Source organism: Homo sapiens, chromosome 17 (assembly GCF_000001405.40).
Source record: "Homo sapiens chromosome 17, GRCh38.p14 Primary Assembly".
Taxonomy (NCBI): domain Eukaryota; kingdom Metazoa; phylum Chordata; class Mammalia; order Primates; family Hominidae; genus Homo; species Homo sapiens.
Window position 1 is genome coordinate 18,780,449 of NC_000017.11, and position 27,704 is coordinate 18,808,152.

Sequence of the window (27,704 nt, forward strand, 5' to 3'; positions counted from 1 at the left end):
CTGACTCGGCCAGACAGATAGGATATTGTCATCATCACCGCTTCAAAGATGACTTAACGCCCCTTAATTTCACATCCTTTGTTCAGGCAAGATCACAGCATGAGCGGCTGGACTTAAAACTGTAGTAAGTATAACGTCTCCCATTTACTAGATACTTACACTGTAAGGAAACCATTATCACCCCCACTTTACAACTGATGAAAGAAGTACATAAAGGTTGGTGATATGATTGGCAATAGAGTTCCCAGGCGCCTAAGCTCCAGGGCGCAAGGTCTCAACTCCTGGCGTCTAAGTTTATACCTCCCATAATAATACCGTCCATTAGTTACTCTAGAGTCCTCCTGCCTTGTTTTTCTTAACGTTTTACTTCTCTGCAAGAACATATTTTAAAAAGTTGCTTCTACAATTTAAAGTACAAAAGTAATACTGTACAGGAGTAAGTCTTTGTAAAATATTTAAAGAAAATTATATTATACAATAAAACCCCGCCCCCCTGCATTCGGGGCAGCGACACTGGGGGAACGACTTTAGAATTTGCATTGGGTGGACAGCAAATACTTCCGTAAAACAGACCATGAAGCTTTCCACTTAGAGCCCACTGTGGCCCCAATACCTTTCCCTTTCGCTCCTGCTCCAGGCTCCGCCTCCGCCGTGTCCGGGCCGCTCGCCCCGCCCCCGCTCGCCCCGCCCCTGGATTTGCTCCCTCAAAGCGGAAGTGAGGCCGGACTGAGGCTCTTACAGTGGTCCCTGCTGGCCCTTGGTGACGGGTCGCCTCAGTTCCGACCCGGACCCGTACGCTGCTGCGCTGACGTGGCTCCCGGAAGTAGGGCTGGCGTAGGGCCGCCATGTTGCAGCAGGTGAGGGGCTGAGGGCTCGCTGGGAGGGTGGCGGCTCCTGGGACTGGCTCTGCAGGTTCCGTGGGACTGGAGCCCGCGTCCCCCGCGCCCGCTACTCGAACTCGAGGAGGAGCGGGGCGGCCGGGAGTGGAGGGCTGTGGGTAGTTGTCTGAGGAGGGCTGCTGGGGGTTCTGAGGCCGCTGGGGGCGGCGTGACCCGTGCGGCGCAGAGCAAGTACTTCTTGCGGCTGTGGGGACGCCCATTGTTAACCAGCGCGAGTGGGGGTCTCTCTTTCCTCAACCCTTATTGCCGGGGTGGAGTTGAGGAGGAGCGGCCTGCGGGCCTCTTAGCTTCCTGACACCCAGGGGTGCGATGCTATTTTGTAGGAATCGGCGACACCGCCAGAGCCTCGCTTTCAAATTGCTGTTTCCAAACTAATGTTGTTGGTGATTCTCTCCTTTGTGCTCTTAGAGTTAATTGTAGTCCACATGTTGGCAACCAGAGACTCGTAAGATTAATAATATTTTTAGAAAAAACTACTGTTTATGGTCACTTAGATTGTCTTAAGTGTTTTTTTCTTTCGGTTCACACAAAATTTGTTGAGGGATTACTATGACTCAGACACGGTTGTAGGCCCAGGGATAGGGTTGTGACCAGTACAGACAGGTTTCTTGCCCCGTATTTTTGGGTTAGGGAAGTGGGTTCTAGGAGATGGGGGTTGGGTGGGGAGACACGATAAATTGTATAACCAAAGATATTTTCAGATAATTGCAAAGGCAGGGTGATGAAATAACAAGTGTCTGAGGATAGGACAACTAAGATTTATGGTCAGGAAAGACTGCTTATGAGGAGATGCCTTGAGTGGAGAAAATCTAATAATGGTTAAATTCAGCTGTATTACAGGAAAGGTGTCCCGATCCAGACCCGAAAAGAGGGTCCTTGGCCGGGCGTGGTGACTCAGGCCTGTAATCCCAGCACTTTGGGAGGACGAGGTGGGTGGATCATGAGGTCAAGAGATCGAGACCATCCTGGCCAACTTGGTGAAACCCTGTCTCTACTAAAAATACAAAAATTAGTTGGGCGTGATGGTGCACGCCTGTAGTCCCAGCTACTCGGGAGGCTGAGGCAGGAGAATCGCTTGAACTGGGGAGGCTGAGGTTGCAGTGAGCCGCGGGCCACTGCACTCCATCCAGCCTGGCTACAGAGGGAGACTCCGTCTCAAACAAAACAAAAAAAGTCTTGGATCAGGCAAGAAGGAATTCAGGGTGAGTCCACAGTGCAAAGTGAAAGCAAGTTTATTAAGAAAGTAAAGGAGTGGCTACTCCATAGAGCAACCTGGAGGGCTGCTGGTGGCCCATTTTTATGGGTATTTCTTAGTGGTATGGTTAACAAGGGGTGGATTATTCATTCCTCCCCTTTTAGATCATAGAGAGTAACTTCCTGATGTTGCCATGGCATTTGTAAACTGGCATGGCGCTGATGGGAGTCTAGTAGTGAGGACGACCAGTGGTCACTCTCGTGGCCATCTTGGTCTTGGTGGGTTTTGGCTGGCTCCTTTATTGCAACCTGTTTTTTCAGCAAGGTCTTTATGACCTGTATTTTGTGCCGACCTCACATCTCATCCTGTGATTTAGAATGCCCTGTCTGGGAATGCAGCCCAGTAGGTTTCAGCCTCATTTTACCCAGCTCCTATTGAAGATGGAGTTGTTCAGGTTCACATGCTTCTGACATTTGAACCTGCGCCCAGGCCGGATGAGGCTGGAGAAACACAACAATGTTGACTGTTCCCACTATTTATTTATTTATTGATTGATTGATTGATTCATTCATTCATTTATGAGACGGAGTTTCACTCTTGTTGCCCAGGCTGGAGTACAATGGTGTGATCTCGGCTCACTGCAACCTCTGCCTCCCGGCTTCAAGCGATTCTTCTGCCTCACCCTCCAGAGTAGCTGGGATTACAGGCGCCTGCCACCACGCCCGGCTAATTTTTGTATTTTTAGTAGAGATGGGGTTTCACCATATTAACCAGGCTGGTCTTGAGCTCCTGACCTCAGGTGATCCACCCGCCTCAGCCTTCCAAAGTGCTAGGATTACAGGCGTGAGCCGCCAGGCCCGGCCGACGGTTCCCACTTGATAAATTTGTGACGTGAACCTCAGTCGAGCCCTTAGTGCTGCCAGGCGGTCATTCTACATTTCCATAGCCCCTTCACCCTCTCGCCTTAGGCAACTATTAAAACTCAAATCTTCAACGTTTCTTCTCTTATCCTCTCTCAGCTGGTAACGTTGCTTCTTGTTTCACTGAAAATGGAAGCCGTCGGAAGACAATTTTCACACTAGCTGCCTAGTTGCATGTTTACTCAGGGTCTCATATTCTTTTATGATAATTGGACTGTTAGTGCTCCATTCTTAGGTCTTCCTGTCTACTGTGTCCTGGTTTCCATCTCCTCTTGCCTACTGGAAGGCATTGTTCTAGTAATTCTCTTTCTTGTATCATCAGTTTTTTAATCCTTTTAAACGTTTGCTCACATCAACATATAAACGTGCTTTAATTTCTCTTACCTTAAAAAATGAAAACTTGGCCGGGCGCGGTGGCTCACGCCTGTAATCCCAGCACTTTGGGAGGCCGAAGCGGGTGGATCACGAGGTCAGGAGATCGAGACCATCCTGGCTAACACGGTGAAACCCCGTCTGTACTAAAAAACAACAAATTAGCCGGGGGTGGTGGCGGGCACCTGTAGTCCCAGCTACTCGGGAAGCTGAGGCAGGAGAATGGCATAAACCTGGGAGGCGGAGCTTGCAGTGAGCCGAGATCGCGCCACTGCACTCCAGCCTGGGCGACAGAGCCAGACTCCGTCTCAAAACAAACAAACAAACAAACAAAACAAACTTGACACCACATGCTCTTTCACTGGTCACTCCATTCTTTTTCCTTTAAAGACTTGTATCATATATGCTTGTCTTTTAATTCTTCCAGTCTCTCTTGTATTCATTCTAGTCAGTCTCTCTTCCCCTCTCCCAACCATACTGGAACTGCTCTTACTGAGTTCCCTGATGACCTGTTAAAAATACAGTGGTCATGGCTGGGTGCAGGGCTCATGGCTGTAATCCCAGCACTTTGGGAGGCCAGGATGGGTGGATCATGAGGTCAAGAGATGGAGACCATCCTGGCCAACATGGTGAAACCCCGTCTCTACTAAAAATACAAAAATTACCTGGGGGTGGTGGCATGTGCCTGTGGTCTCAGCTACTCGGGAGGCTGAGGCTGACGCAGGGGAGTCGCTTGAACCCGGGAGGTGGAGGTTGCAGTGAGCCAAGATCACGCCATTGCACTCCAGCCTGGCGACAGAGCGAGACTCCGTCTCAAAAAAAAGAAAAAAAATACAGTGGTCTCTCTTTGGTTTTCATCTTACTTATGAGCAGCATTTGACACAGATGATGGATCCTCCTCCTGGAGGCACTTTGTTTGGTTTCCAGGACACTACCCCCTCCTGGCTCACCTTATGTTCCTTGGTACTTCTTTTTCAGTCCCCACAGCCTATTCCTTCTTATCTTTGTGATCTCTAATTATTGGAATGCTAGGAGTCTGTCTTAGCCATCTTTATCTTTTTAGTTGTTCAGGACAAAAACTTTGGAATCTTCCTTGATTCCTTTTATTTACCCTTCCTCCACCTCCCCAGTCAGTCCATCAGCAAATCCTGTCAGCTCTCCCTTAAAATGTACTTGGAATCTATTTTTCATCACCTCCACTGCATCCATCTTAGACCAAGCCATTACTTCTTGGCCTCGTGATTAAAGTAGTTTCCTAACCAGTCTCCTAGCGTTGTGCTTTTGTCCCTCCTTCTTCTCCCCTCCCCCTCCAGATTTTTACTACAGTAGCCAGAATTCTCTTTCTAACAGGTGAGTCAGAACATGCAGTCTTACACTTAAAACACTCCAATGGATCTCCCTTTCAACGCTTTTTGGTTTTAGCATCTTAAAATGTCATTTAGCATCTTAAAATGTCCAAAATCAAACTGCTGATTTTGCCCCGAAATCTTTTGTGTCCGTGGTCTTCCCCATCTTAGTAAATGTAACTCCAGGAGTGCAGAGCTATTTGTCTTTTTTTTTTTTTTTTTTAAATCTGTACCACTTACAGCAGTACCTGGCACTTGGTAGGCACTCAGTATTTACTGAATAAATGAGAAGAAATGAGTCTTTCAAAGAGCAGGGTAAGAGAATAGTGTTCTAGGTAATATGAACCATAAGTGCAAAAGAACCTGACGGGGCCCAAGTTTGGCATGTTTAAGGAACTGAAAAGAAGGCCAGCCTGGGCATGGTGGCTCATGCCTCTAATCGTAGCACTTTGGGAGGCTAAGGCAGGAGAATTGCTTGAGCCCGGGAGTTTGAGACTAGCCTGGGCAACATAGCGAGACCCTATTTCTGCAAGAAATTAAAATATTAGATATGGTGGCTTGCAGTACTCAGGAGGCTGAGATGTAGGACCTGCAGTAGTGACCCCTGATTGCTCCACTGCACTCCAGCCTGGGCGAGAGCCAGACCCTGTGTCAAAAAAAAAAAATGGCCAGTCTGGGCAGGAGCTTAGGTACTGTATAAATTTCCTGTTGCTACTGCGGCAGTGAAGTCATATGTACTGTTGTAAAGTTCTGGTGGTCAGAAGTCCAGAATGAGGCTCAAGGGGTTAAACATCAAGGTGTGGGTAGGGGTTCTGGAGAATCAGTTTCCTTGCCTGATGCAGCTTCTAAACACCTGGGATCCCTTCCCCATCTTAATGCCATGAGCACAGCCTCTTCAAATCTCTGTCTCTCATCTCTACTTTGCTTGTTTCATCACCTTCTCTCACTGACCCTCCTTTGTTTCCCTTGTAAGGACCATTGTGATCACGTCATCTGACCAGCCTGGGTAATCCAGGATGATCTCTTGACCTCAAGATCCTTAACTTAATCTCATCTGTGAAATTCTTTTTGCCAAGTAAATTTACATATTCACAGGTTCCAGAGATTAGAACCTAAACATTTTTGGGAGGGGTGAGGAGGTATTCAGCCTACCACAGTTAATGAAGAGTGAGTGGCCTGAGATAAGGTCTTAGAGATTGGCAGGGACCAGATCATGATAGGTCATGATAGGGAGTCTGTTTTTCAGTCATAGTGCTGAGAGGTTTCAGTAGGGGAATGATAGGATTTGATGTGAAAAAGTCTCCCTGGCCGCTGGATGGCGATTAGACTGTTGGGATCGAGAGCAGAAGGCCTCAGCTTTTTATTCATAACATCATACGGTGGATCTCAATCTTGCTGTACGTTATGATCACACCTCAAAGCAATTATATCTGAACCACTGAGGGCTGGACCCAAGTATCAGCCTTTTTTTGTTTGTTTGTTTGTTTTTTAAGAAAAAGCATTCTAATTGTAGCCAGGGTTGAGAACCACTAGTCTCATAGATCTGAATCCATTTTACCTTTTCAGCCTTAGCTCAGTAGGAGCTTCTCGCATCCATCACTTACTGCATGAGCTACTTGACCATTTCTTAGACAAACTTCCTGTATTCCCACCTGTGCCTTTCAAAATATACCTAGTCTAGGGAGGCCTACGCGGACTGTCAGGGCCCAGCTGACAAACTCTCCTCCAGAAAGCTTCTCCAGTGCCCTGTAGTAGGAATGATTTGCTTCCTTCCCTGGCTCCCATTTGCACTTAGATTTCTCAGCCCTGATCACAGTCAGCTGTATATTATCGTCTCCTTTGCTTATTTACTCATGCCTTCAACAAATACTGTACCACTTGGCTGAATGCTCTGCTAGACACTAGGATTTACTACAATGCAAAGACAGTCTTGGTTGGGCGTGGTGGCTCACACCTATAATCCCAGCACTATGGGAGGGTGAGGTGGGCGGATCCCTTGAGGTCAGGAGTTTGAAACCAGCCTGGCCAACGTGGTGAGACTCTGTCTCTACTAAAAATACAAAAATTAGCCAGGCTAATTAGCCGAGACACACTCCTGTAATCCCAGTTACTCAGGAGGCTGAGGCACTAGAATCTAGCTTGAACCCAGGAGGTGGAGGTTGCAGTAAGCTGAGACCATACCACTGTACTCCAGCCTGGGCGACAGAGCAAGACTCTGTCTCAAAAAAAAAAAAAAAAACCTTGTCTTCTAGGTCCTCCAGCAGCTTAATCTATATGGAGGTAGGAGCGGGTAGATGTGCAATAAGAATACTCTGAGATGATTGTTCAAATGGAGATTCGTCCAAGTGCTGTGGGAACATGGGGATTTCAGAGACAGGTTTTCAGCTATTTCAGTATTTGAGCTAAAAAACTTGAAGGATGATTTGGTATTTGGTGGTGAGCAGGGCATGAGGAAGGGAAGAGTTTTCTGAGACAACATGTGAAAGGCAGGAGATGGGAGAGAGATTGTAGTGTTCTTAGAGACCATGTAGTAACAGTATTGCTTCAGTGCTCAACAGTGCTCAATGAAGACAGTGTCAGAAGCAAGTAGGGGGCATTAGATTCTGTGATCTTCTATGCTTTATGTGAAGGAGTTAAATTTTATCCTATACTTGTAGGGATGCCATTGAAAAATTTGAGCAGTAGAGTGACATGGTGTGATTTCCATATTGGGAGGATTGCTCTGGGTAATGTAAAGGAGAGGCTGGAATAGAGAGGGATAAAGGCAGGGAGGCTGGTGAGTGCCACTAGGAGAGGAACAGGATCAGGTTTGTTGTAGTTGAGGGGAATTGCAGTGAATTGAGGCGTGAACCACTCTTAGAAGCCTAAGGTTATGGGGCCGGGCATGGTGGCTCACGCCTGTAATCCCAGCAATGGGAGGCCGAGGCGGCTGGATCACAAGGTCATGAAATCTCCTGGTTAACACGGTGAAACCTGTCTCTACAAAAAAAAATACAAAAAATTAGCCAGGCATGGTGGCACGCGCCTGTAGTCCCAGCTACTTGGGAAGGTGAGGCAGGAGAATCACTTGAACCCAGGAGGCAGAGGTTGCAGTGAGTTGAGGCCACGCCACTGCACTCCAGCCTGAGCGACAGAGCAAGACTCCATCTCAAAAAAAAAAAAAAAAAAAGCCTAAGGTTGTAAAAGGAAGCAATGCTTTGGGAAGGTAGAGGATTGAAGGGGAGATTCAGGATCAGGGTTCTTAAAAAAATCTTTTTTTGCCTAATAAGTGGCCTTGAAGAAGTTTATATGCATATGCTGATTAGAAAGATTCAATAGAGGCCGGGCGTGGTGGCTCATGCCTGTAATCCCAGCACTTTGGGAGGCTGAGGCGGACAGATCACCTGAGGTCAGGAGTTCAAGACCAGCCTGGCCAACATGGTGAAACCCCGTCTCAACTAAAAATACGAAAATTAGCTGGGTGTGGTGGCACACGCCTGTAATCCCAACAACTTGGAAGGCTGAAGCAGGAGAATCGTTTGAACCCGGGAGGCGGAGGTTGCAGTGAGCCAAGATCGTGCCATTGCAGTCCAGCCTGGGTGATGAGCAAAACTCCATTTCAACAACAACAAAAAAGAAAGATCCAATAGATAGACTTGAAGATAGAAGAAAGTGTAAATACAGGGGAAAATGATGAAACAAATCCCCGAGGAGGCATGAAAAGAAGTTATTCTGAGCACAAATAATTGGTTTAGCCTTGGATAAGAAGAGGAGGAGTTGTGAGAAGGGGTCATGGAACTAAGGATGCAGTCAGATGATTTTGTGAAGGAGCCAGAAACCTTGAGATTATCCCCAGTAGCCTCGGCTTGCTCTGTGACTTGGGAGAGAACAGGTGAGGAGGACAGGTGTTAAGTTGTAGTAGCCTCATCTGCACCCTAGAGTTTTCTCAGATGGTGCAGCCTAGGGGCAGGGATGGAGGAGCTGAGACTTCGATTATTCTCTGGGTTTTTTGCCAGATGATTTGAGGAGGCGGGTGGAGGATCTGCATGTGTCCTTTTCCTAGGTTTTGAATTCCTGATGCTGTAACCACATTATTTTATCTTCTATTTTGATGAGTATGCAGCTTTGCATTGCAGTGGCTGTGTAAACACTGAATTTTGTTTTGCTTCTTGACCATTTATTTTTCCTACCAGGATAGTAATGATGACACTGAAGATGTTTCACTGTTTGATGCGGAAGAGGAGACGACTAATAGACCAAGAAAAGCCAAAATCAGGTAGGAGGAGAGAAGTTGCATGAGCTGTGTTAGTGTCCAGTGCTGTTCTGTATGTATGTCAGTGCTAGCTGATGGGAGTCAAGGCAGAGTTGTTTCAATGTGCTTGTGAATACTGCATGTTGCTAATTTGACGTTTAGTGTACGACAAAGATGACATTTCAGATTTTCTTGTGAATAATTGGCATACTTAATACTGAGTTTTAAAATCAGCAAATCCAATTATTTGAACACCTGTGTTTTTAATTCTGTGCTATTTTCCAAGAATGTACCATTTCTTTATATAGTTTCTATAGATACATTACATTTTGATTTATTGTGCACATTTCAAAATCACATAACATTTCTATTCTAAATTTAATTCTCTCTAAAGAAATTCACTTACTGAAAGCAAATTCTACTTGAACCCTGCTAAAATGCTGTCTTTTACTTTTCTTTCATCTTTCATGCCAGTCACAAAAGACCACATATTGTATGATTTCATTTATATGAAATGTCCAGAATAGGCAAATCTGTAGAGACAGAAGATAGATTAGCTGTTGCTAGAAGCTGAGGGGTTTGAAGGTAAATGGGGAATGACTGCCAGTGGGTACAAAGATTCTGTCTGGGGTAATGAAAAGTTGTAAAATTGGAGTGATGGTTGTACAAATCTGTGAATGTACTAAAAACCATTAGATTGTTTACCTTAAATAAGTAAATTGTATGATATGTGAATTATATCTCAAAAAAGCTATTAAAAAACAAGAAACAGGCTGGGCACGATGGCTCATGCCTGTAATCCCAGCACTTTGGGAGGCCGAGGCAGGTGGATCACGAGGTCAGGAGATTGAGATCATCCTGGCTAACATGGTGAAACCCCATCTCTACTAAAAATACAAAAAATTAGCCGGGCGTGGTGGCAGGCGCCTGTAGTCCCAGCTACTTGGGAGGCTGAGGCAGGACAATGGCGTGAACCCAGGAGGTGAAGTTTGCAGTGAGCCGAGATTGTGCCACCAAACTCCAGCCTGGGCGACGGAGCGAGACTCCGTCTCAAAAAAAAAAAAAAAAGAAAAGAAAGAAAGAAACAAACTACCTGATAACTTTGTCTTAATGTCTGAGTGATTTCTGAGGGCTAAGGAATTCTTTTGGTGTGATTTGAAAATAGGATTCAAATTCTAAGATACAGTTTCCTTATTTCTCCAAGAGAGATAAAATTCTTTATTATCTATTTTGTGAAAGTTTATATTCAATGAGGTGTTAAAGTCATCTGTGCATAGTGTATTTTCTGTAACTACAGGGCCTAGTCAAATAGTGGGGCTTAAGAAAAAGAGAGCTAGGAGGTTTGCTTCATCCTACTAAAGTCACCTCTTTTATTTTGACAAAACTCTTCACAGTTACACGATGGCTAAAACATTTTTCTCTACATTTGCTAGTACCTGTAGTAAAATGTAATTGCATTTCTTTCATTGTGTTTTGGTTTTCAGACATCCAGTAGCATCGTTTTTCCACTTATTCTTTCGAGTCAGTGCAATCATCGTCTATCTTCTCTGTGGGTTGCTCAGCAGCAGCTTTATTACCTGTATGGTGACAATTATCTTGTTGTTGTCGTGTGACTTTTGGGCAGTGAAGGTAATTTTGATTGTTTTTATTTTAAAATTATATTTAATATGAAAATGATGTATAAAAATATGAGTTAGCATTTTGCATTATTGTTAATCTTTTGTTACTTCAAACCTCATCTGTGTTGAAGTGCTAGATATATCAAATTGCATGTAGTTTTTTTTTTTTTTTTTTTTTTTTTCATTTTTTCCCTTTGACAATACAAGATGAGACATGCAGGTTACTGTGCTGCTGATTTTTCTGTGCCATATTCTAACCTACATCAGCTTTAAAGTCAAATAAACAAACAAAAGTGACTAGCAACCATAGACCCTACAATGTTGCTTCTAATCCATACCATGGGTTTTGCTTCAGGCTTACCTGTAGGTGTGTTGTATATAATTTCTAGATAAGGCCCCAGTGTAGTTTGTCCACAAATACCTAAAAAATACCTACCTTTTGAAAAGGCTCCTATGGATGCTTTAAGGCAGTGTTTCTCAACCAGAGACAAGCTTGCCACCCACTGAATATTTGTCAGTGTCCAAAAATGTTTTTGGTTGTCATGACTGGAGGTGGGAGGAGTGTGCTATTGACATCTAGTGGCTAGAGGGCAGGTATGCTGCTAAATATCCTAACACACAGGACGGCCCCTCTGCAACAAAGAACTACCTGACCCAAAATGTCAGTTGTGCCAAGGTTGAGACACCCTGCTGTAGGGGATAGAAAGAAGTGTAAGAAATGGTTTCAAACTCAAGAACAATGATTAGAGAGATGGATGGATGGATAGATAGGTACATAATAAATAGATAAGTAAGCATAATAAAATATTAAATATGGACTCTAGATGATAGATATTTGGGTATTCACTGTAAAATTTAACTGTGTGTGTTCGAAAATATAGTAAAATAGTGGAGAAAAAAATCAAAGGCTGATTTTGGAGTTTCAGAGACACATACTGATTCAAAGACTAGTAAGATGTTACAACCCTATTCACACCCACCAATGTAGCCATTTTTAGATCTTTTAATTCTTTTTTTTTTGAGACGGAGTTTCACTTTTGTTGCCCAGGCTGGAGTGCAATGGCATGATCTTGGCTCACCGCAACCTCTGCCTCCTGGGTTCAGGTGATTCTCCTGCCTCAGACTCCCGAGTAGCTGGGATTACAGGCATGCACCACCACGCCTGGCTAATTTTTTTGTATTTTTAGTACAGACGGGGTTTCTCCATGTTGGTCAGGCTGGTCTCGAACTTCTGACCTCAAGGGATCTGCCCACCTCAGCCTCCCAAAGTGCTGGGATTACAGGCGTGAGCCACTGCGCCTGGCCATCTTTTAATTCTTAAAGATACCTGAAGTGGTTGGCTTGGTGATGGCCAGTTTCCATAGGCCGCATAATGCTGAGAAGGAAGATTTCAAAGGTCTGTTTTCTTTAGGTTTTTCTGTTGTCCAGTCTTCTTTGGCTTGCATTTCTTTGAATTTCTTCTGTTACTTTATGCTCCAAAGTATTTAGTACATACTGCTCACAGTTTTGATACACGTTTCTTTTTGTTGTTCATAAAATTTCTGTTCAGCCAAATAGAACATGCTTTCCAGTCAGTTCTTCCTGGTAATTTCCAAACTCTTAAAATTTTTCTGGGTTTAGAGTTTTAAAAAATGCGATCAAAATAGTTTATTTTCTGATAAGGTTTATTTGTTTATTTTTGTTTTTAAACAAGGGCTTAAAAAATGGCACCCTTTTATCCTTGGCAAAACTACTTATAGATAGCAAAGCAATGGAGATATAAAGCAAAATTAAGAAGTCAAGAATAGGGAAATTATTAAGTGGACTTGGGATAAGCAGGGTTCTGAAACAGTTAAAATAGAGATGTGTCGTAATTGTTATAAATCTCAATGTACTTACTAAAAAAACAAAAAATCAATCTTCATCTAAACCCCTAGGTGTCCAATCTTTTGGTTTCCCTGGGCCACAGTGGAAGAAAGAATTATCTTGGGCCACACATAAAATACACTAACATTAGCTGATGAGCTTAAAAAAAAAATCGCACACAAAAAAATCTCATAATGTTTTAAGAAAGTTTACAAATTTCTCCTGGGCCGCATTCAAAGCTGTCCTGGGCAGCATGAGGCCTGTGGGCAGAGGGTTGGATAGGCTTGCCCTAGGTGATGTTAATGAAGATAAAGAAGAGGTAGAGAAGGGAAAATAATTTAAAGGTATGCTTAAATGCTAAAGCTTATATTGGTTTTTATTTTATTCTTCACTCTGACAAATTGAGTAAAAAAGGTTAAATAATGGTTTTAAAAATTTAATGGCAACTATGGCTGGGCGCGGTGGCTCACACCTATAATCCCAGCACTTTGGGAGGCTGAGGCGGGTGGATCATGAGGTCAGGAGATCGAGACCATCCTGGCTAACATGGTGAAACCCCATCTCTGCTAAAAAAAAAAAAAAAAAAAAAATGAGCCGGGCGTGGTGGCAGGTGCCTGTAGTCCCAGCTATTCAGGAGGCTGAGGCAGGAGGCGGAGCTTGCAGTGAGCCGAGATTGCGCCACTGCACTCTAGCCTGGGCAACAGAGCAAGACTCCATCTCAAAAAAAAAAAAAAAAATAATGGCAACTATTAGTAAAATTTAAAACCAGTCGTGTATCTTCTGCAACATTGGAGAAGATGGAGCAAGTAAAACAGTTCATAGAGCAAAAGAAGGAAAACAAAGCAACTGTCAAGGAAGCTTAAATCAGAAAGTACATGTATAAAGTGATGTAAGTAATAGCAAATTCATTATAATAGGAAATGTAATTTGATTAAACTACCCATTTAAAGACAAGAATACTAAGATTGGTCAGAAATCAAAGTCCAAACAAAAGATCTAACAACATTAATGACATTAGAAAAAATAAAAGAAGGCAAAGATAACATCAGATCAACTCAAACAAAAAGAAACTTGGCATTGTATTATTATCAGATGAGATATGGATCAGAGTAAGAAAGCACTAAGAGGAACAGAAAAAGGTGATTTTATGAATCACAGTGAAGATCATTCACAGAGTAAAATTATATCAAACTATGTATAGTAAAAAAATTGGAAATATTAGAAAATAGAAAAGCATTATGATGAGTTTAACAAACTACTATCTTTAACAAACCAAAGTGCCAAAAAATAAATAAGTTCTGAAGGATCTGAATGAAATAATTGGCAACATCAATTTGATAGCAGTATTTGGGACTTTGTATGACAGAATACTTTCTTGTTAAATGCCTGTGGGGCATTTACAAAAATTGACTAAATATCACTGTGAAGAAAATCAAAATAAAATTGCCCAAAGCACCTACATTTTCTACTCCAATGAAACAGAACTAGAAATTAATAGAAAGTAGTTGTCGAAATTGGAATTCTTTTTAAAAAGCGAACTACTACATATCTTGGGTTTAAAAGGAAGCAAAAACTGTAAATATAGGTTATTTATACCTTAATGGTGATCATTTACAGTTAAACTTTCTGAATATGTCAAAAACTGAATTCAGAGGGAAAATAATAGACTAAAGCCTTTTATTTTAGACAAGAAAGAGGGAAAATAATGGACTACTTGAGTCCAGAAATTTCAAAAACAAGCAATAAGCGTGAGAAATCAGGAAAATAAACTAATAAAGATAAAAGCAGGAAATAAAGAGTTAGAAAATGGGAACACAGAAGAGTTTGAAAGTATTCTGAGAGCATTCTTTGAAAATACCTATAGAAGAGACCTCTGGTTTAGGTCTCCCTTGCCAGCTCTTTTTTTTTTTTTTACTTAGCATCTCTCCCATAGGAATTTTGGTCTCATAAGACTCTTCCTTTTCTTCTCCTGTATTCCCTTCCTAAGGAGTGCCGTTTATGCTTCTGGTTTTAATTGCTGATCTGTAAGCTGTGTTGCCTCCCAGATCTGTATCTCCATTCAGGTTTGTCCTCACAACTCAAGGCCTCTCCATGTGTCTTCTTGACGTTTTTATGTGGCTGTCTTGAAGGCATCTCAAATCTTTTTTTTTTTTTTTTTTTTTTTTTTTGAGACAAAATCTTGCTTTGTCACCCAAGCTGGAATGCAGTGGTGTGATCTCGGCTCACTGCAACCTCTGCCTCCTGGGGTTCAAGCCATTCTCCTGCCTCACCCTCCTAGATAGCTGAGACTACAGGCATGCACCACCATGCCTAGCGAATTTTTGTATTTTTAGTAGAGTCAGGGTTTCACTATGTTAGCCAGGCTGGTCTTGAACCCAAGTGAGCCACCATGCCTGGCCAGGCAACTTATATCTTAACATGTGTAAAATACTACTTGTCATCTTCCACTCCCCAAAAGCTCTTCTTCTTTGAGTGTTCCCTTTCGTGGGGCCTGGAATCACTATTTTTTTACTTGAGCAAACCAGAAATGTATCAGTTGCCTCCTTCCTACTCCATATCCAATTAATGACCAAGTCCCATAAATCCATAGATTGTACTTTCTTCATTAGGGCATCAGTGCCTGCTGCTCTATCTGGAATGCTCTTCTTCCTCCCACATCACCTTCATACAGGGATTCCTAATCTTTTTATGCCATGGGTCCCTTTCATAGACTCATGAATAAGTTTTCACATATATAAAGTACATAAGATTTCAAAGGAAGTCACTTATATTGAAATATAATTTAAAAATATTAGAAAAGTAAATTTCTGATTGAGTTATATGTGTAGTAGTTCCCCCATTATCTGAGGTTTCACTTTCTGCGGTTTCAGTTACTGCTATACACTACACTAAACAGTAAGATACTGTGTGAGGAGAGAGAACTACATTCACATAACTTTTATTAGATTATGTTGTTATAATTGTTCTATTTTTATTTCTTATTAATCTCTTACTGTGCATTATTTATAAATTAAGCATTATCATAGGTATGTACTTACAGGAAAAAATATAGCATATATAAGGTTTGGTATTAACCACAATTTGAGGCATCTGCTGGGGGTCTTGGAATGTATCCCCTGCAGATAAGGGAGGACTACTATACTTTATGAATTTATTAATGGTAAGATCTAGTGGCAGGTCTAATAACTACTTTCAAAGCAGTGGTGAGCGTAAACAATATGTTAAGATAACTGCAGCAAGTATAGTACAAAATGAAAAATGTCTGTGGTTTCTATTGTGTCAGGGTGTTTTTAATTTTACCTATATTCATAGTTTGTTGTCTACATTCATAATTTAATGATATGCTAACTACTTTCAAAGCAGTGGTGAGCATAAATAGTATTTTGAGGCCGTGCGTGGTGGCTTACGCCTGTAATCCCAGCACTTTGGGAGGCCAAGGCGGGTGAATCACTGAGGTTGGGAGTTCGAGACCAGCCTGACCAACATGGAGAAACCCCATCTCTACTAAAAATACAAAATTAGCTGGGCATGATGGCGCATGCCTGTAATCCCTGCTACTTGGGAGGCTGAGGCAGGAGAATCGTTTGAACCCGGGAGGCAGAGGTTGCGGTGAGCTGAGATCGCCCCGTTGCATGCCAGCCTGGGCAACAAGAGCGAAACTCTGTCTCAAAAACAAAAAACAAAACCAAACAAAAAACAAAACTACAATATTTTGAGGTAACTGCAGCAAATATAGTACAAAATAAAAAAATGCCTGTGATTTCTATTGTGTCAGGGTGTTTTTAATTTTACCTACATTCATAGTTTGTTGTCTACATTCATAATTTAAAGATATGCTAAATTTTAGCCAGAGGTTAATGAAAATGAAGGTAACATTTTTTTTTAACCCATCGAGGTTCACAGAACCACTGAATCTATTAGTGGACACCATTAATTAAACATCCATGGTACTGTTGATTCTTATTTATCTTTTATATTTCATTCCAAATGTTGACTCCTCAGAGAGTCATTTTCTGATACCCAGACTAGATCCAATTTCCCTGTTATACTCTTCAAGCATCTCACACTTTTCCCTTGCAGGACTTAACTCAGTTGGTAATGGTACATTTGTGCATTGGTTGTCTGCCTCTCTTCACCTCTTTCCCTGAGGAAGGAGTTGGTATCTGTTAGTCACTGTTGTATTACCAGCACATAGTAGATGCTCAGTAAATATTTGTTGAGTAAATAAAGATTAGGAAAGCTATCAAACTAATTTATTACCTTAGTAAGTAGGAAAAGAGCTTGGTAACTTGAGAGACTGACTGAAGGCCAGTGTCTATAATCATTTTCAGGGATATGTAGTTGTAAAATACATGTAGCTATAGTCAGGATGTAAAGTAGGTCACAGTAACCAAATAGCAAGGGGTTTAGGGAAAATTAGGGAACTGGAGAAAGGGCAAATTGTTCATGAGGGAAAAGAGAAGGTGTAATGTTTATGGGTGGACTTGTTGCTTGCTCTGTCACCTCTACCCCTATTAGTCCTGCCATTACCATTTTACTTAATCACTTAGCCAGGCCTGATACATAGTAGTCTTTGCTAACTGGATATTATGGAGGTAAAGCTGAAGGTTTTTGTTTGTGAAATGTTACACTAAGATAGGAGCTTGTGATAGATCTTTAAATAATGCTTTTAAAATGTGCCTGTTTATATTAATCTTCACCAGAATGTCACAGGTAGACTAATGGTTGGCCTACGTTGGTGGAATCACATTGATGAAGATGGAAAGAGCCATTGGGTGTTTGAATCTAGAAAGGTAAAGTGCCTTTTTTGTTTTAAATAATGTTATCAGCTAAATTATTTGTAGACTATATTTAAATACTGGAAGATGAAGTATTCAGAATTAAAAACACTATACCAAATCACTTGGCATGTCAGCACTAAAGGAGATGGCCTTCTAGAATTTAATGCATTTTTCTGTCTAGTTCAGACCAGAAACAAGCAATATACAGAACAGAATCCTTTGAGGGAAGACACTGGGTCTGAGTTCATACAGTGTGCTAAGCTGCCTGTCAGGGATTGCTGATAAAAGATCTCTGTGTTGCCTTTGTTAGTGTCTCCATAAATCCCTCTATGCTCAGCAGATAACTGCTTTTAACATCTTGTTCTGTCTTTGCTCCTGTGGTCGTCTTTCATTTCTGGGCAGGAAAAAGGAGGAGGAGTGCAGCTGGATAGAATATCTGATCGGAGCACTCTATTCCTAAGCTTCTGCCTTCAGGAGCCCTGGGGATCCTGGTCTGTTTTGGGTTAGCCTGCTACACTATAGTGAATATTCACTTTCCTTGTGGAAATAAGTTTTGGAAGCAGAGGACCAAATTCTTGGCGACAGTACACCAAGGGTATTGACAAGTTATTTTAAGAAAGTGGCACTGTGTTCAATGAGCCTGTATTCTTTTATATTATAGAATCTACCTTGGAAACAACTTACCACCCTTGTAACTTCCTGGGTATTGCTAAGACATTTTGATTATTGTCCAGAATCCCTTGATTCCGTTTTTTTTTTTTCCTCTGGACCCTAATTTGACCTTTTAGTCTCCAGAATGATTATAACTGTGATTTCCTTGATCATTGGTAGGAAAGGTATCATTTAGAGCTTCCTTATGAATAAATAGTACAAGTGCAAGAAGAATTGAATAGAATCCTATCAGAGACCACTCTTTACTGTCATGAGTTGTGGTAAACCATCCATCCTGCCCTGAAAATGCAAAATTCTTGAGTTAATATAGATCAGTTCCTAAAATTACAAGAGTGATAGTCATGTATTTTTGGGTTCTAACTTAGGAGTTGGGCTGTGTGTATTAATATTTGAACTTGTGGGTAATATGTTTTTTATTAAACATGTTGAACTTTTTATTGATAAATTTCACAACATGATAATTGAATTTATGTTCTTTTATAGGAGTCCTCTCAAGAGAATAAAACTGTGTCAGAGGCTGAATCAAGAATCTTTTGGTTGGGACTTATTGCCTGTCCAGTACTGTGGGTGATATTTGCTTTTAGTGCACTCTTCTCCTTCAGAGTAAAGTGGTTGGTGAGTATCAGTGTAGAACTTTCAAATAATCCATTAAGATGTCTGATGGTAATCATAGGAAGCAACAACTACAACTGAGTCCTTATCATTAGGGACCTATCTTGAATAGGCAGCTTCATCATGTAATTCCCAAGTTTTGCTTCCCAACTTTACCTTTCTCTATAATACTGGAGAAGAGATCCTAAAAAACCCCTTCCCACCAGTTTTCTAGATTATTAGTGGTCTTTTCTGGAAATAATGGTTGGTAACCTATTGCTGCCTAACAAATCACTCCAAAACATAGTGGCTTAGAGCAACAACAGCCATTATCTCACAGTTTCTATGGGTCAGGATCTTGGGAAGGGCTCTGCTGGGAGATTCTGGCTTGGGGTCTTGAGTAGTTGTAGTCAGACAGTAGTTGGAATGATGGGGGTTGTGAGCCATCTCCTCTTCATGAGGTCCCATGGCCTCTCCACATGTTTTTCCCTGTGCCTTCGTTTGGGCTTCTTCATGGCATGGTGGCCTCATGGTGGTGGGACTGCTTACGTGGCAGCCCAGTACTTCACTTGTGGGGTGTTCTAGCTCGCAAGCTTTTACAATCTAGCTAAGATGTCATAGCATCGCTTCTGCTGCCCACTCACATTCAAGGAAATGGGAATTAGGCTCTGCTCTTGATAAGGAATAAGAAGGTGCTAGAAGACTTTGTGGAAGAGGAGATATTGTTGCTGCTGTCTTTGGAAAATATAGTTTGTCACTTGACCCAATTTGTGAGTCTTACTCTTTTTTATATCTCATATTATTTTTTCTTATTCTATCTTATATCTGATATGAATAAATATTGTGTGAATTTTCACACAATATTTATTGATATCAGATATATTTTGGCCTTAATTATGTTTTTCCTCCTAATTTGTAGTATTTTCTTAGTCCTATTTTGCGATATAGATTCTTTTTTTCTTTGTGTGTGCTCATACATTCATACTTTCCTTCTTTGGATTTGGAAGCTTATTGGAAGCTTATTGTCTTTTTTCAGTTCTTCTGGTAGTTACCTTTAATTACTTTATATGTTTATATCATTACCCTCTTTCATGAATTAGGAAATTTATTCAGTATTTATGGAGTTCCTGCTCTGGAAAATGGGAAACTTTACGCTAATATGGTTTCTTTAACTTCTCCCTCCTCCTACCTCTAGAGTTTTGCTTATTATAGTCTTATTTTAGTCCTTCTAGTGGTTTTCTTTGTAACATTAATTAATGTACTTAAACCTGTTTATTGACTTAATAGACTCTGTTTAGAAAGGGAAGAAAATAAACACTCATATTCCTTCCTATGAGTTTCCTCCTTTCTCTCTTGTTTGTTCCAATGTTATTTTTGTGTTACCAAGTTTTATAATAGTTATCTTTTGAAAACATATTTCTTACTGGTTGTTTAGTCTTTGATCTGTTTTTTAAAAAAGTCGATTCATTGCCTATCACCAGTCTTACTGCAGCTTCTCCTTTTACTTATTGGTTGGCTACATTTTCTTTTGACTCATGTTTAAACATATGAGCCTATTGACTATTCTTAAATGATGACCTGGCTGGATTAATATTCTTGGGTCACAGTTTGTTTCTTTTTGGAAGATGCTATTCCATCATTTTCTTTCACTGAATATCTTGGAGAAGTCTGAGGCCAGGCTTACTTAACCTTTGTAATCTCTCCTCATAAGGTGTTTTTTTTTTTAGTTCATGTAACCCAGATGTATCTGTATTTATCTTTCCATATCAAGTTTTCTGGAGTCTGTGCCTTTCTGACAGGCAGACCAAAGTTTTGCTTGGAATCAGGAAAATTTTTTCTGTTAAATCTTTGCATTTATTTATGTTCTATGGTTTGACCTTTCATTTTGAAGTACCAGTTACGTTTATGTTGGATCATTTTTATTTGTTCTCATCTACTATTTTCTTGTTGCTTTAATTATTCATCTTTTCCTTATTTATTCAGCAATTTTAAGAGTTCACTCTTATGTCAGAGCTGTCTGGAGACACAGGGGGATAAGTTAGGGGACAGTAAACAAGTTGACTGCTCCAGTAGAGCTTATGTTCTAGTGGAAGGTAGACAAACAGTAAAAAATACAACAGGGGATGTTAGTTAATGATACAAAGTAATGGGGTAGAGAGTGCAGAGGAGAGAACAGTAACTATTTTAAGTGCTCAGCTAAGGCTTCTCTCTGTATTTCCTTAGCTTTGTCAGCTCCGTTTTCATCTCCTGTTATCTCACCCTCATGCTTTTTGAGTTCTTTTCTTTAGGTTTTTCTGTAGGGTGAAATAGTCCGAGGAATGCTTTTATTTTGGTGGGGTTTTTTTCTTTTCGAGTAGATTCTTCACCTATCTTCTGTATACTATGCTTCTTTTTTCTTTTTTCACTATAGTTTTGCATAAATGCACTTCCCTTTTTCCTTATCCATTTTGCTTATCCTTACAGTGACAGTCCTGTCCAGCCCTTCTCTTTCTGCTGGTTTAGTGCGGGTGAATCCCCCTTGACCACCTTCTCCTGATGTCTGAGGCACGTGGCTGCTGCTCTGAGCTGGAGTTGCAGTGCTGGGTTTGGTGGCCTGAAGACACAGGTGTGATGTGCGATGTGGAGAACTTGCCAGGCTCTTGCTCTCTTGGCTGGGCTGCCTGGTTTTGCGTTCTCTTCCTTAGTGGGGCTCTTGTCTGCTGGTTGGCTGTGCACTCTCTTCTGGTTCTTCCCTTCTGCTTTGGATTGTTTGTAAGACCTTAGAGCTTTAGCATCCATCCAAGAGAGTCAGCCCAGTCTTTTTCTAGCAGTGTTTCTACTTCCTTAAAACAAAACAGGGAGAGGTTATGTGAAAGCCAGTTTGATCCTGTGTTAACCTACTTATGCCTAGTGTTCCATTATTGGAACACTAAGCATGTAGGAGTTATTTATATCCTACTGCTCAAGGTCATCACCAAGGTCTGATTTTTCACTCATGCAAAAATTCACAAAATTGCAGCCTACAGCATAAATGGGTTAAGACCTCGGCATGGTGGCTCATGCCTGTAATCCCAGCACTTTGGGAGGGCCAAGGCGGGCGGATCACGAGGTCAGGAGATCGAGACCATCCTGGCTAACATGGTGAAACCCTGTCTCTACTAAAAATACAAAAAATTAGCCGGGTGTGGTGGCAGGCACCTGTAGTCCCAGTTACTCGGGAGGCTGAGGCAGGAGAATGGAGTGAACCCAGGAGGCAGAGTTTGCAGTGAGCCAAGATCGTGCCACCGCACTCCAGCCTGAGCAACAGAGCGAGACTCCATCTCAAAAAATAAATAAATAAAAATAATAAAAATAAATGGGTTAAGACCACAGGACGGGAATGGGCTTCACCCAGTCTCTCCATGAGTCTCCCACCTCCTCACTTCTCTTAAGATGATCATCTCTCATGATTAATGATCCTTCTGCGCTTCCTCTCCTGCCTTCTTCCCACCCGGTGGCACCACTATGGCCAGCTGCAGGGATTTTCCTGCCTGTTTGGGTCATTGTTAGTTGGGAGGAGTTTCTGCTGTCATGGCTGTTTCTGCATTTTTTTCTCGGGTCTTTTGCTTTTCTATAAGTTCCTGGGGATGGTAATTAGTGAAATTTTCCTTAGAGCTTCTTTGCAGAGTTTGGAGCTATGTAGAGCTGCTCCAACCTGGCTCTTTCTTTGGCCACCAGCCCTTTTTTATGTTTGTTGGTATTAGTTTATTTGTGTTTTTAAAAATGCTGTTTGCTGTTTGTACCTTAAGGGGAGGGAGATCTTCATGTCTGACTTCACTGCACCATCTTAAACCAGAAGTTTAACTTACAGATTTTAACATTTGTTGCCATTGAGTAAATCGATGCCTTAGCAGGACCCATGATTGGTCTTTGAATTGAGGTGTACCCTGGCATGTTGATATATACATACCCAGCAGTGCCCCATTTGAGAAGCATGGGAAATTAAAAGGAAATTTATTCAAATAAATACACAGTTTTATATTTATTTAGGAAACTAGCACCCTCTTATTACACTAACACGTTTAATTCCATGAAACATAAGTTTAGAACAGAAAGTACCACCTCCTCTTCTTTTACTAGGAATGTGAAACCTGTTCATTAATCAAACATTTAAATCTATTAATTAAACATTAAAATCAGCTATACATCTTGTTAAGGGTAAGGAGAATAAATCTAGATTGGAAAACGACATTTCATTGAGCTGCTTTGCTTGTCACAGATATAAAAGAGTAGAATGGTCGATGAGCTGTTTATTCCAGAACAAGGGTTGGCAAACTATGGCCTGCAGACCAAATCCAGCCCGACACCTGTTTTTGTAAGTTTTTATTGAAAAACAGCCTTGCCCACTTATATATTGTCTATGGCTGCCTTCGGATTAGAACAGCAGAGTTGAGTAATTGCAACAGAGACCGTATGGTCTGAAATATTTATGATTTGACCCTTTACAGGAGAACTTTGCTGATCCCTGTATTAGAGTCTTTAACCTTGGGAATCCCTCACATTGTCTCAATTTTTCTAATTAAGATTAATTAGAAATTTTTAAAGAATGGGTTTTGAGTTTCTTTTTCTCACTTCTCATTGATCCTAGTGGGATGACCATAGGTGAGAAAATGAAACTCAAAGGAACAAACAGCTCTGCAAAAGTACAGTTCCCCTTGGAGCTGTCTCCCTGCTCGGGGAAGGCAGGCATCGGTTGATTTATGCCTTAGGGCATTGCATCCCCTCTACCAGAAGCCAGTTGTCACGTAGAGCAGAGATTCACCCCTACCTGCTCTCAGTTTATTGAACTTGATCTACCTCTTGACTGTTCTTTTGTAATTCTTATAGGAATAATTAACATTTGAACCTTTCCTGAGTCTCATTTACTTTTCCTAACTTTACTCACAGACCAATGGGAAACAGAGAGCAAGAAGGCTCCCCCTGCACTGCATCCCCAGCAGCTAGCATGATGCCTGGCACATAAGAGCAGTTGTGTCCAGTAAATATTTGCTGGGTGAATGACTCGTGCCTTGTGCAGAGCGTCTATCAGATGGGTCTGTTCTGGCAACTGTCTCTGGAAAATCTCAACTGGCACAATCATGGCTTTGCAGAGCTTCCTCTTCCTTCTCTTTCTCATGACAGTCTGCCTTGTCTCATTTATGGCACAGAGAAAGGTCAATTTCAGGCCAGTAACCATTGATTATTTTTTCCCTTGTCCCAGGCGGTGGTTATCATGGGTGTGGTGCTACAAGGTGCCAACCTGTATGGTTACATCAGGTGTAAGGTGCGCAGCAGAAAGCATTTAACCAGCATGGCTACTTCATATTTTGGAAAGCAGTTTTTAAGACAAGTAAGTGTTTTCTGGATGTGATCAGTGACTAATGCAATTATTTCTAACTTTCATAGTTTAATTTTTATGAAACGCTCCTGAACAGAAGTTTTAAAGGCATATAGTTGTATAAATATAATGATAAAGATGTTGTAATTGCTCTTTGGGGGTGTTCAAGACAGTCTGGAAGTGTATTGTCAGTATCCTAAAATTATTTTAAAGCCAGGAAGGATAAACTATCATTGATAATAACTTATTTTTTAAAAATTACTTTTAAGTTCAGTTGTTTTTCATCAATTATGGGAGCTTTAAGTGAATGCCCTTGCAGAATGTATGTTGTATGTTTTTTTTTTTTTTTTTTGAGACAGAGTTTTGCTCTGTCGCCCAGGCTGGAGTGCAGTGGTGCAATCTTGGCTCACTGCAACCTCTGCCCCCCGGGTTCATGTGATTCTCCTGCCTCAGCCTTATGAGTAGCTGGGATTACAGGCGCATGCCACCACGCCCAGCTAATTTTTTGTGTTTTCAGTAGAGATGGGATTTCATCGTGTTAGCCAGGATGGTCTCCATCTCATGACCTTGTGATCTGCCTACCTCGGCCTCCCAAAGTGCTGGGATTACAGGCGTGAGCCACCGTGCCCAGCCTGTATGTTGTATGGTTTTAGGGAGAACAGTTGAATCACAAGAAGACCATAACATTTGTACTCAGATGTTTTTTTCCCCCTAGAACATAAGGATTTTACTATAATACCCCAACATCAGGGTTTTCAGCAGGATGAGTAGTAGTCATAGGTAAATAATTATTGGTTAAATTTCTTGGGAAAAGTGACTAGGTCTTTTTTTTTTTTTTTTTTTTTTTTTCTTGAGACGGAGTCTCGCTCTGTCGCCCAGGCTGGAGTGCAGTGGCGCGATCTCGGCTTACTGCAAGCTCCGCCTCCCGGGTTCACGCCATTCTTCTGCATCAGCCTCCCGAGTAGCTGGGACTACAGGCGCCGCCACCACGCCTGGCTTTTTTGTATTTTTAGTAGAGACGGGGTTTCACCGTGTTAGCCAGGATGGTCTCGATCTCCTGACCTCATGATCCACCCTCCTCGGCCTCCCAAAGTGCTGGGATTACAGGTGTAAGCCACGGCGCCCAGCCTAGCATGTCTACTTTTTAATGTGATTGGGCCATTGTATGTAAGGTAATGCTCTGCTTAGAAATATAGAATGTTTTCCTAGGCCTAGTCCCCAAGTCCATGGTGTGTGAAGTGAAATAACTTTGATGTTAAGGAGTTTTTTTTTTTTGTCTTTTGCAGAACACTGGAGATGATCAGACTTCCTGAATAGAGAAAGCTTATGTGCTTTGTTACATTGGGGAACAACTGAAGAGATTCTTGACTCAACCTTTTAGAGCTTAGTCCATGTTGCAACGAGGAGTGTTGGCTTTGTTTTTCCACTTAAAAACTTTATTTATAAAAAGGAAAAGTAGTTTTCATATTAAGTTTTTATTTCCTTTCCAGCAGTTGGGGCTAGAAAGTATGTGTTGGCACTAGAAACATTGTCAAGATTTGTTCTGTGGTGTAGGTATGCACATTCCATAGGTATGCACACGGCCATGTAATATCAGTATATCCCAAGTTAATGAAAGTGTTCATTTACATAGGTAATGGAGACCTTTGCATTTTGATCCATAGAACATAGGAGGATGTTCTTAGTCTGTCTCAAAGCTCTATATGTTTACATATTATTTCTGTAGATTGTTTTCAGGAGAAAGTTTTGCTTCTATGGTAAGAGTGAGCACTTTGGCTTATGTATAAGTTAGAAATAATTGTTAGTTTTTAATATGCACTTCGTGGGGAAATTTCTTAGACGTATGCAAGCAAGTGAAAACAATTAGGGCCAGTGGTATTAACTACTTTATAAAATTTTATTTTTGTTTGTAAGAAGTCATCTATTTAAGGCCCAGTTAATATAAGTGGAATCATCATAGTTTAAGGAATACCCAGAGATTGCTGCTGTTCTATTTATTTTACAGAAAGGATAGCTAGATTGAAAGCTCTTCAGTGGACCTTGAGCTAATAGATCTTTTACCACTAAAAGAGCATTATTCTCATGTCATAATGAGAATAATAATTTACATACTTGGCATAATAAATGCCTAAAAGACATTTTATTTTCTGAATCTATTTTTTTCTTGCTATAATGGGGATATTGTAAATTATGCATTTGTATTAATGGTATTTCTTAAAGCAATCTATGTAACTGTAAATTAAACCAATCTACAAACTATTGTAGGCATCTGTAAATTCTGTTGTAGGTATTATAAACTTTGTTGAAGTCTTAATCAGCAGATTATGTTGTGAATATATTTGTACATTGTTAAAATAGTTTTTAAGATTATTTGTTTAATTGAATAAGTGTCTTATTGGAGTGATAGCTTTGAAGGTGCAAAACTTTATATTTGTATAAAATTCTACTATTTACAAGGCATTTGACATGTGTAATCTCATTTAACCCTCATGATAAATATGTAATACTTTAGATGATATAACTGAACTTCAGGTTATTGAGTGACTTTCCCAAGGAAAACAGATTGCAGGAATATCTGTAGGATATAAAACATGATATATTAGTATTTTTTAGAGAAAATATTTGCTCTAAATGCCCTTTCCTTTCTTAAAAATTAATAATTTGTTAAGAGCTTGTTTATTTTACTTAGCTGTTCTGTCTGGTGAGAATTGATACTGCACTAAAGACATTTTAAAATACAATCTGAAAGATCTAACCTAAATCTTTAGGGTTGAGAGTCTAACAAAGGATACATTGGTGTAGTTCTTTAGGTAACTGTGTTATTTGAACTGCATCCTAAACCAAGTAACAATGAATTTTAGAATATGCATGTGGTAGGAGCTACCCTGTATTCCCTAATACTCGTTTTTCTCCTTCTACAGATTTCCCACCTAATTAGCTAGGGAATGGCATCCTGGAATAAAGATAAAACTTTTCCTAGATTTTATCGCTGTATCTTGGTGTGGCCACATCACCAAGTTTGGGCCAATGGATACACTTCCAGGAAGTATCCTTAAAAGGAGGAGGCATGCCCATCCCTTCCCCCTTTTTCCTGAAAGGTAGACACAATAGCAGAAACTAGAGCAGCCATCTTGGACTATGTGATAAAGGCTTCGTTTTGTGAATAGCAGAGAAATGAGGTAGATACTGTCTGAATCCCATCTTGTGGGTATAGTAGCCCTGAACTACTTGTCTGAATTTTTTTTTTTGAAACAGAGTTTTTGCTCTTGTCACCCAGGCTGGAGTGCAGTGGTGTGATCTCGGCTCATTGCAACCTCTGCCCTCTGGGTTCAAGTGATTCTCCTGCCTCAGCCTCCCTAGTAGCTGGGATTACCACCCTGCCACTACACCTGGCTAATTTTTGTATTTTTAGTAGAGACGGGATTTCACCACAATGGCCAGGCTAGTCTCGAATTCCTGACCTTAGGTGATTCGCCCGCCTCAGCCACCCAAAGTACTTAGATTACAGGCGTGAGCCATCGTATCTGGCGACCTGTTTGAACTTTTAATAAAAGTGAAGGGAGGAACTACCTTCTTCAAGTGTTAATGTTCTGGCTTCTCTGTTGCTCATAGCCTAACTGGATTCTTGTCAATACAGTGCACTTTGAGCATTATCCATGATTATTTCCATTTGAAGTAACTTTCCATATTGTACTAACAACTCCAGTTGTTAGTACAGTATTAGAGATGTAATAATTTAGTAAATACCTAGTTGTCCTTTATGTAGTAATTAAGTAAATATTGTAGTTGCTGCCGAGTTGCACTGTTCAGATGCTGTTGCTACGTAAAACTCCACTCCTAGAATTACTGGTGAAAAGTCATTTTATTATGCTCACAAATTGTGTGGGACAGGAATTTG

General features: G+C 41.0%; 1 protein-coding gene across 8 annotated transcripts, besides 1 other annotated feature; it reads left to right on the forward strand.

Annotated features, from left to right (window-relative positions):
- The first annotated feature begins 734 nt into the window (after positions 1 to 734).
- On the forward strand, positions 735 to 26,266 carry TVP23B (trans-golgi network vesicle protein 23 homolog B). 8 transcript variants are annotated; one of them, NM_016078.6, is made up of 7 exons: positions 735 to 857; positions 8,905 to 8,987; positions 10,448 to 10,592; positions 17,131 to 17,220; positions 18,364 to 18,495; positions 23,690 to 23,818; positions 25,093 to 26,266. In NM_016078.6, the coding sequence occupies exons 1-7, from the start codon at positions 846 to 848 to the stop codon at positions 25,117 to 25,119; spliced, it is 618 nt and encodes a 205-aa protein (NP_057162.4). In that variant the 5' UTR covers positions 735 to 845; the 3' UTR covers positions 25,120 to 26,266. The 8 variants fall into 8 exon arrangements, with proteins under 8 accessions (NP_057162.4, NP_001303851.1, NP_001303850.1 ...); NM_001316922.2 differs by having other exon boundaries at positions 10,448 to 10,512; NM_001316921.2 differs by having other exon boundaries at positions 8,910 to 8,987.
- Positions 23,020 to 23,671: an enhancer, noted in NCBI's record as "NANOG hESC enhancer chr17:18706781-18707432 (GRCh37/hg19 assembly coordinates)". NCBI's record gives its function as "activates a minimal SCP1, AML or CMV promoter by ChIP-STARR-seq in naive H9 embryonic stem cells {active_cell/tissue: H9 hESC(naive)}" and the evidence as "EXISTENCE:reporter gene assay evidence [ECO:0000049][PMID:30033119]".
- Positions 26,267 to 27,704: the final 1,438 nt, after the last annotated feature.

Coding starts and splice junctions, on each gene's coding strand:
- TVP23B (NM_016078.6), top strand. Junction 10,593..17,130: donor GTGACTTTTGGGCAGTGAAG/GTAATTTTGATT, acceptor AATCTTCACCAG/AATGTCACAGGTAGACTAAT. Junction 23,819..25,092: donor GAAAGCAGTTTTTAAGACAA/GTAAGTGTTTTC, acceptor TGTCTTTTGCAG/AACACTGGAGATGATCAGAC.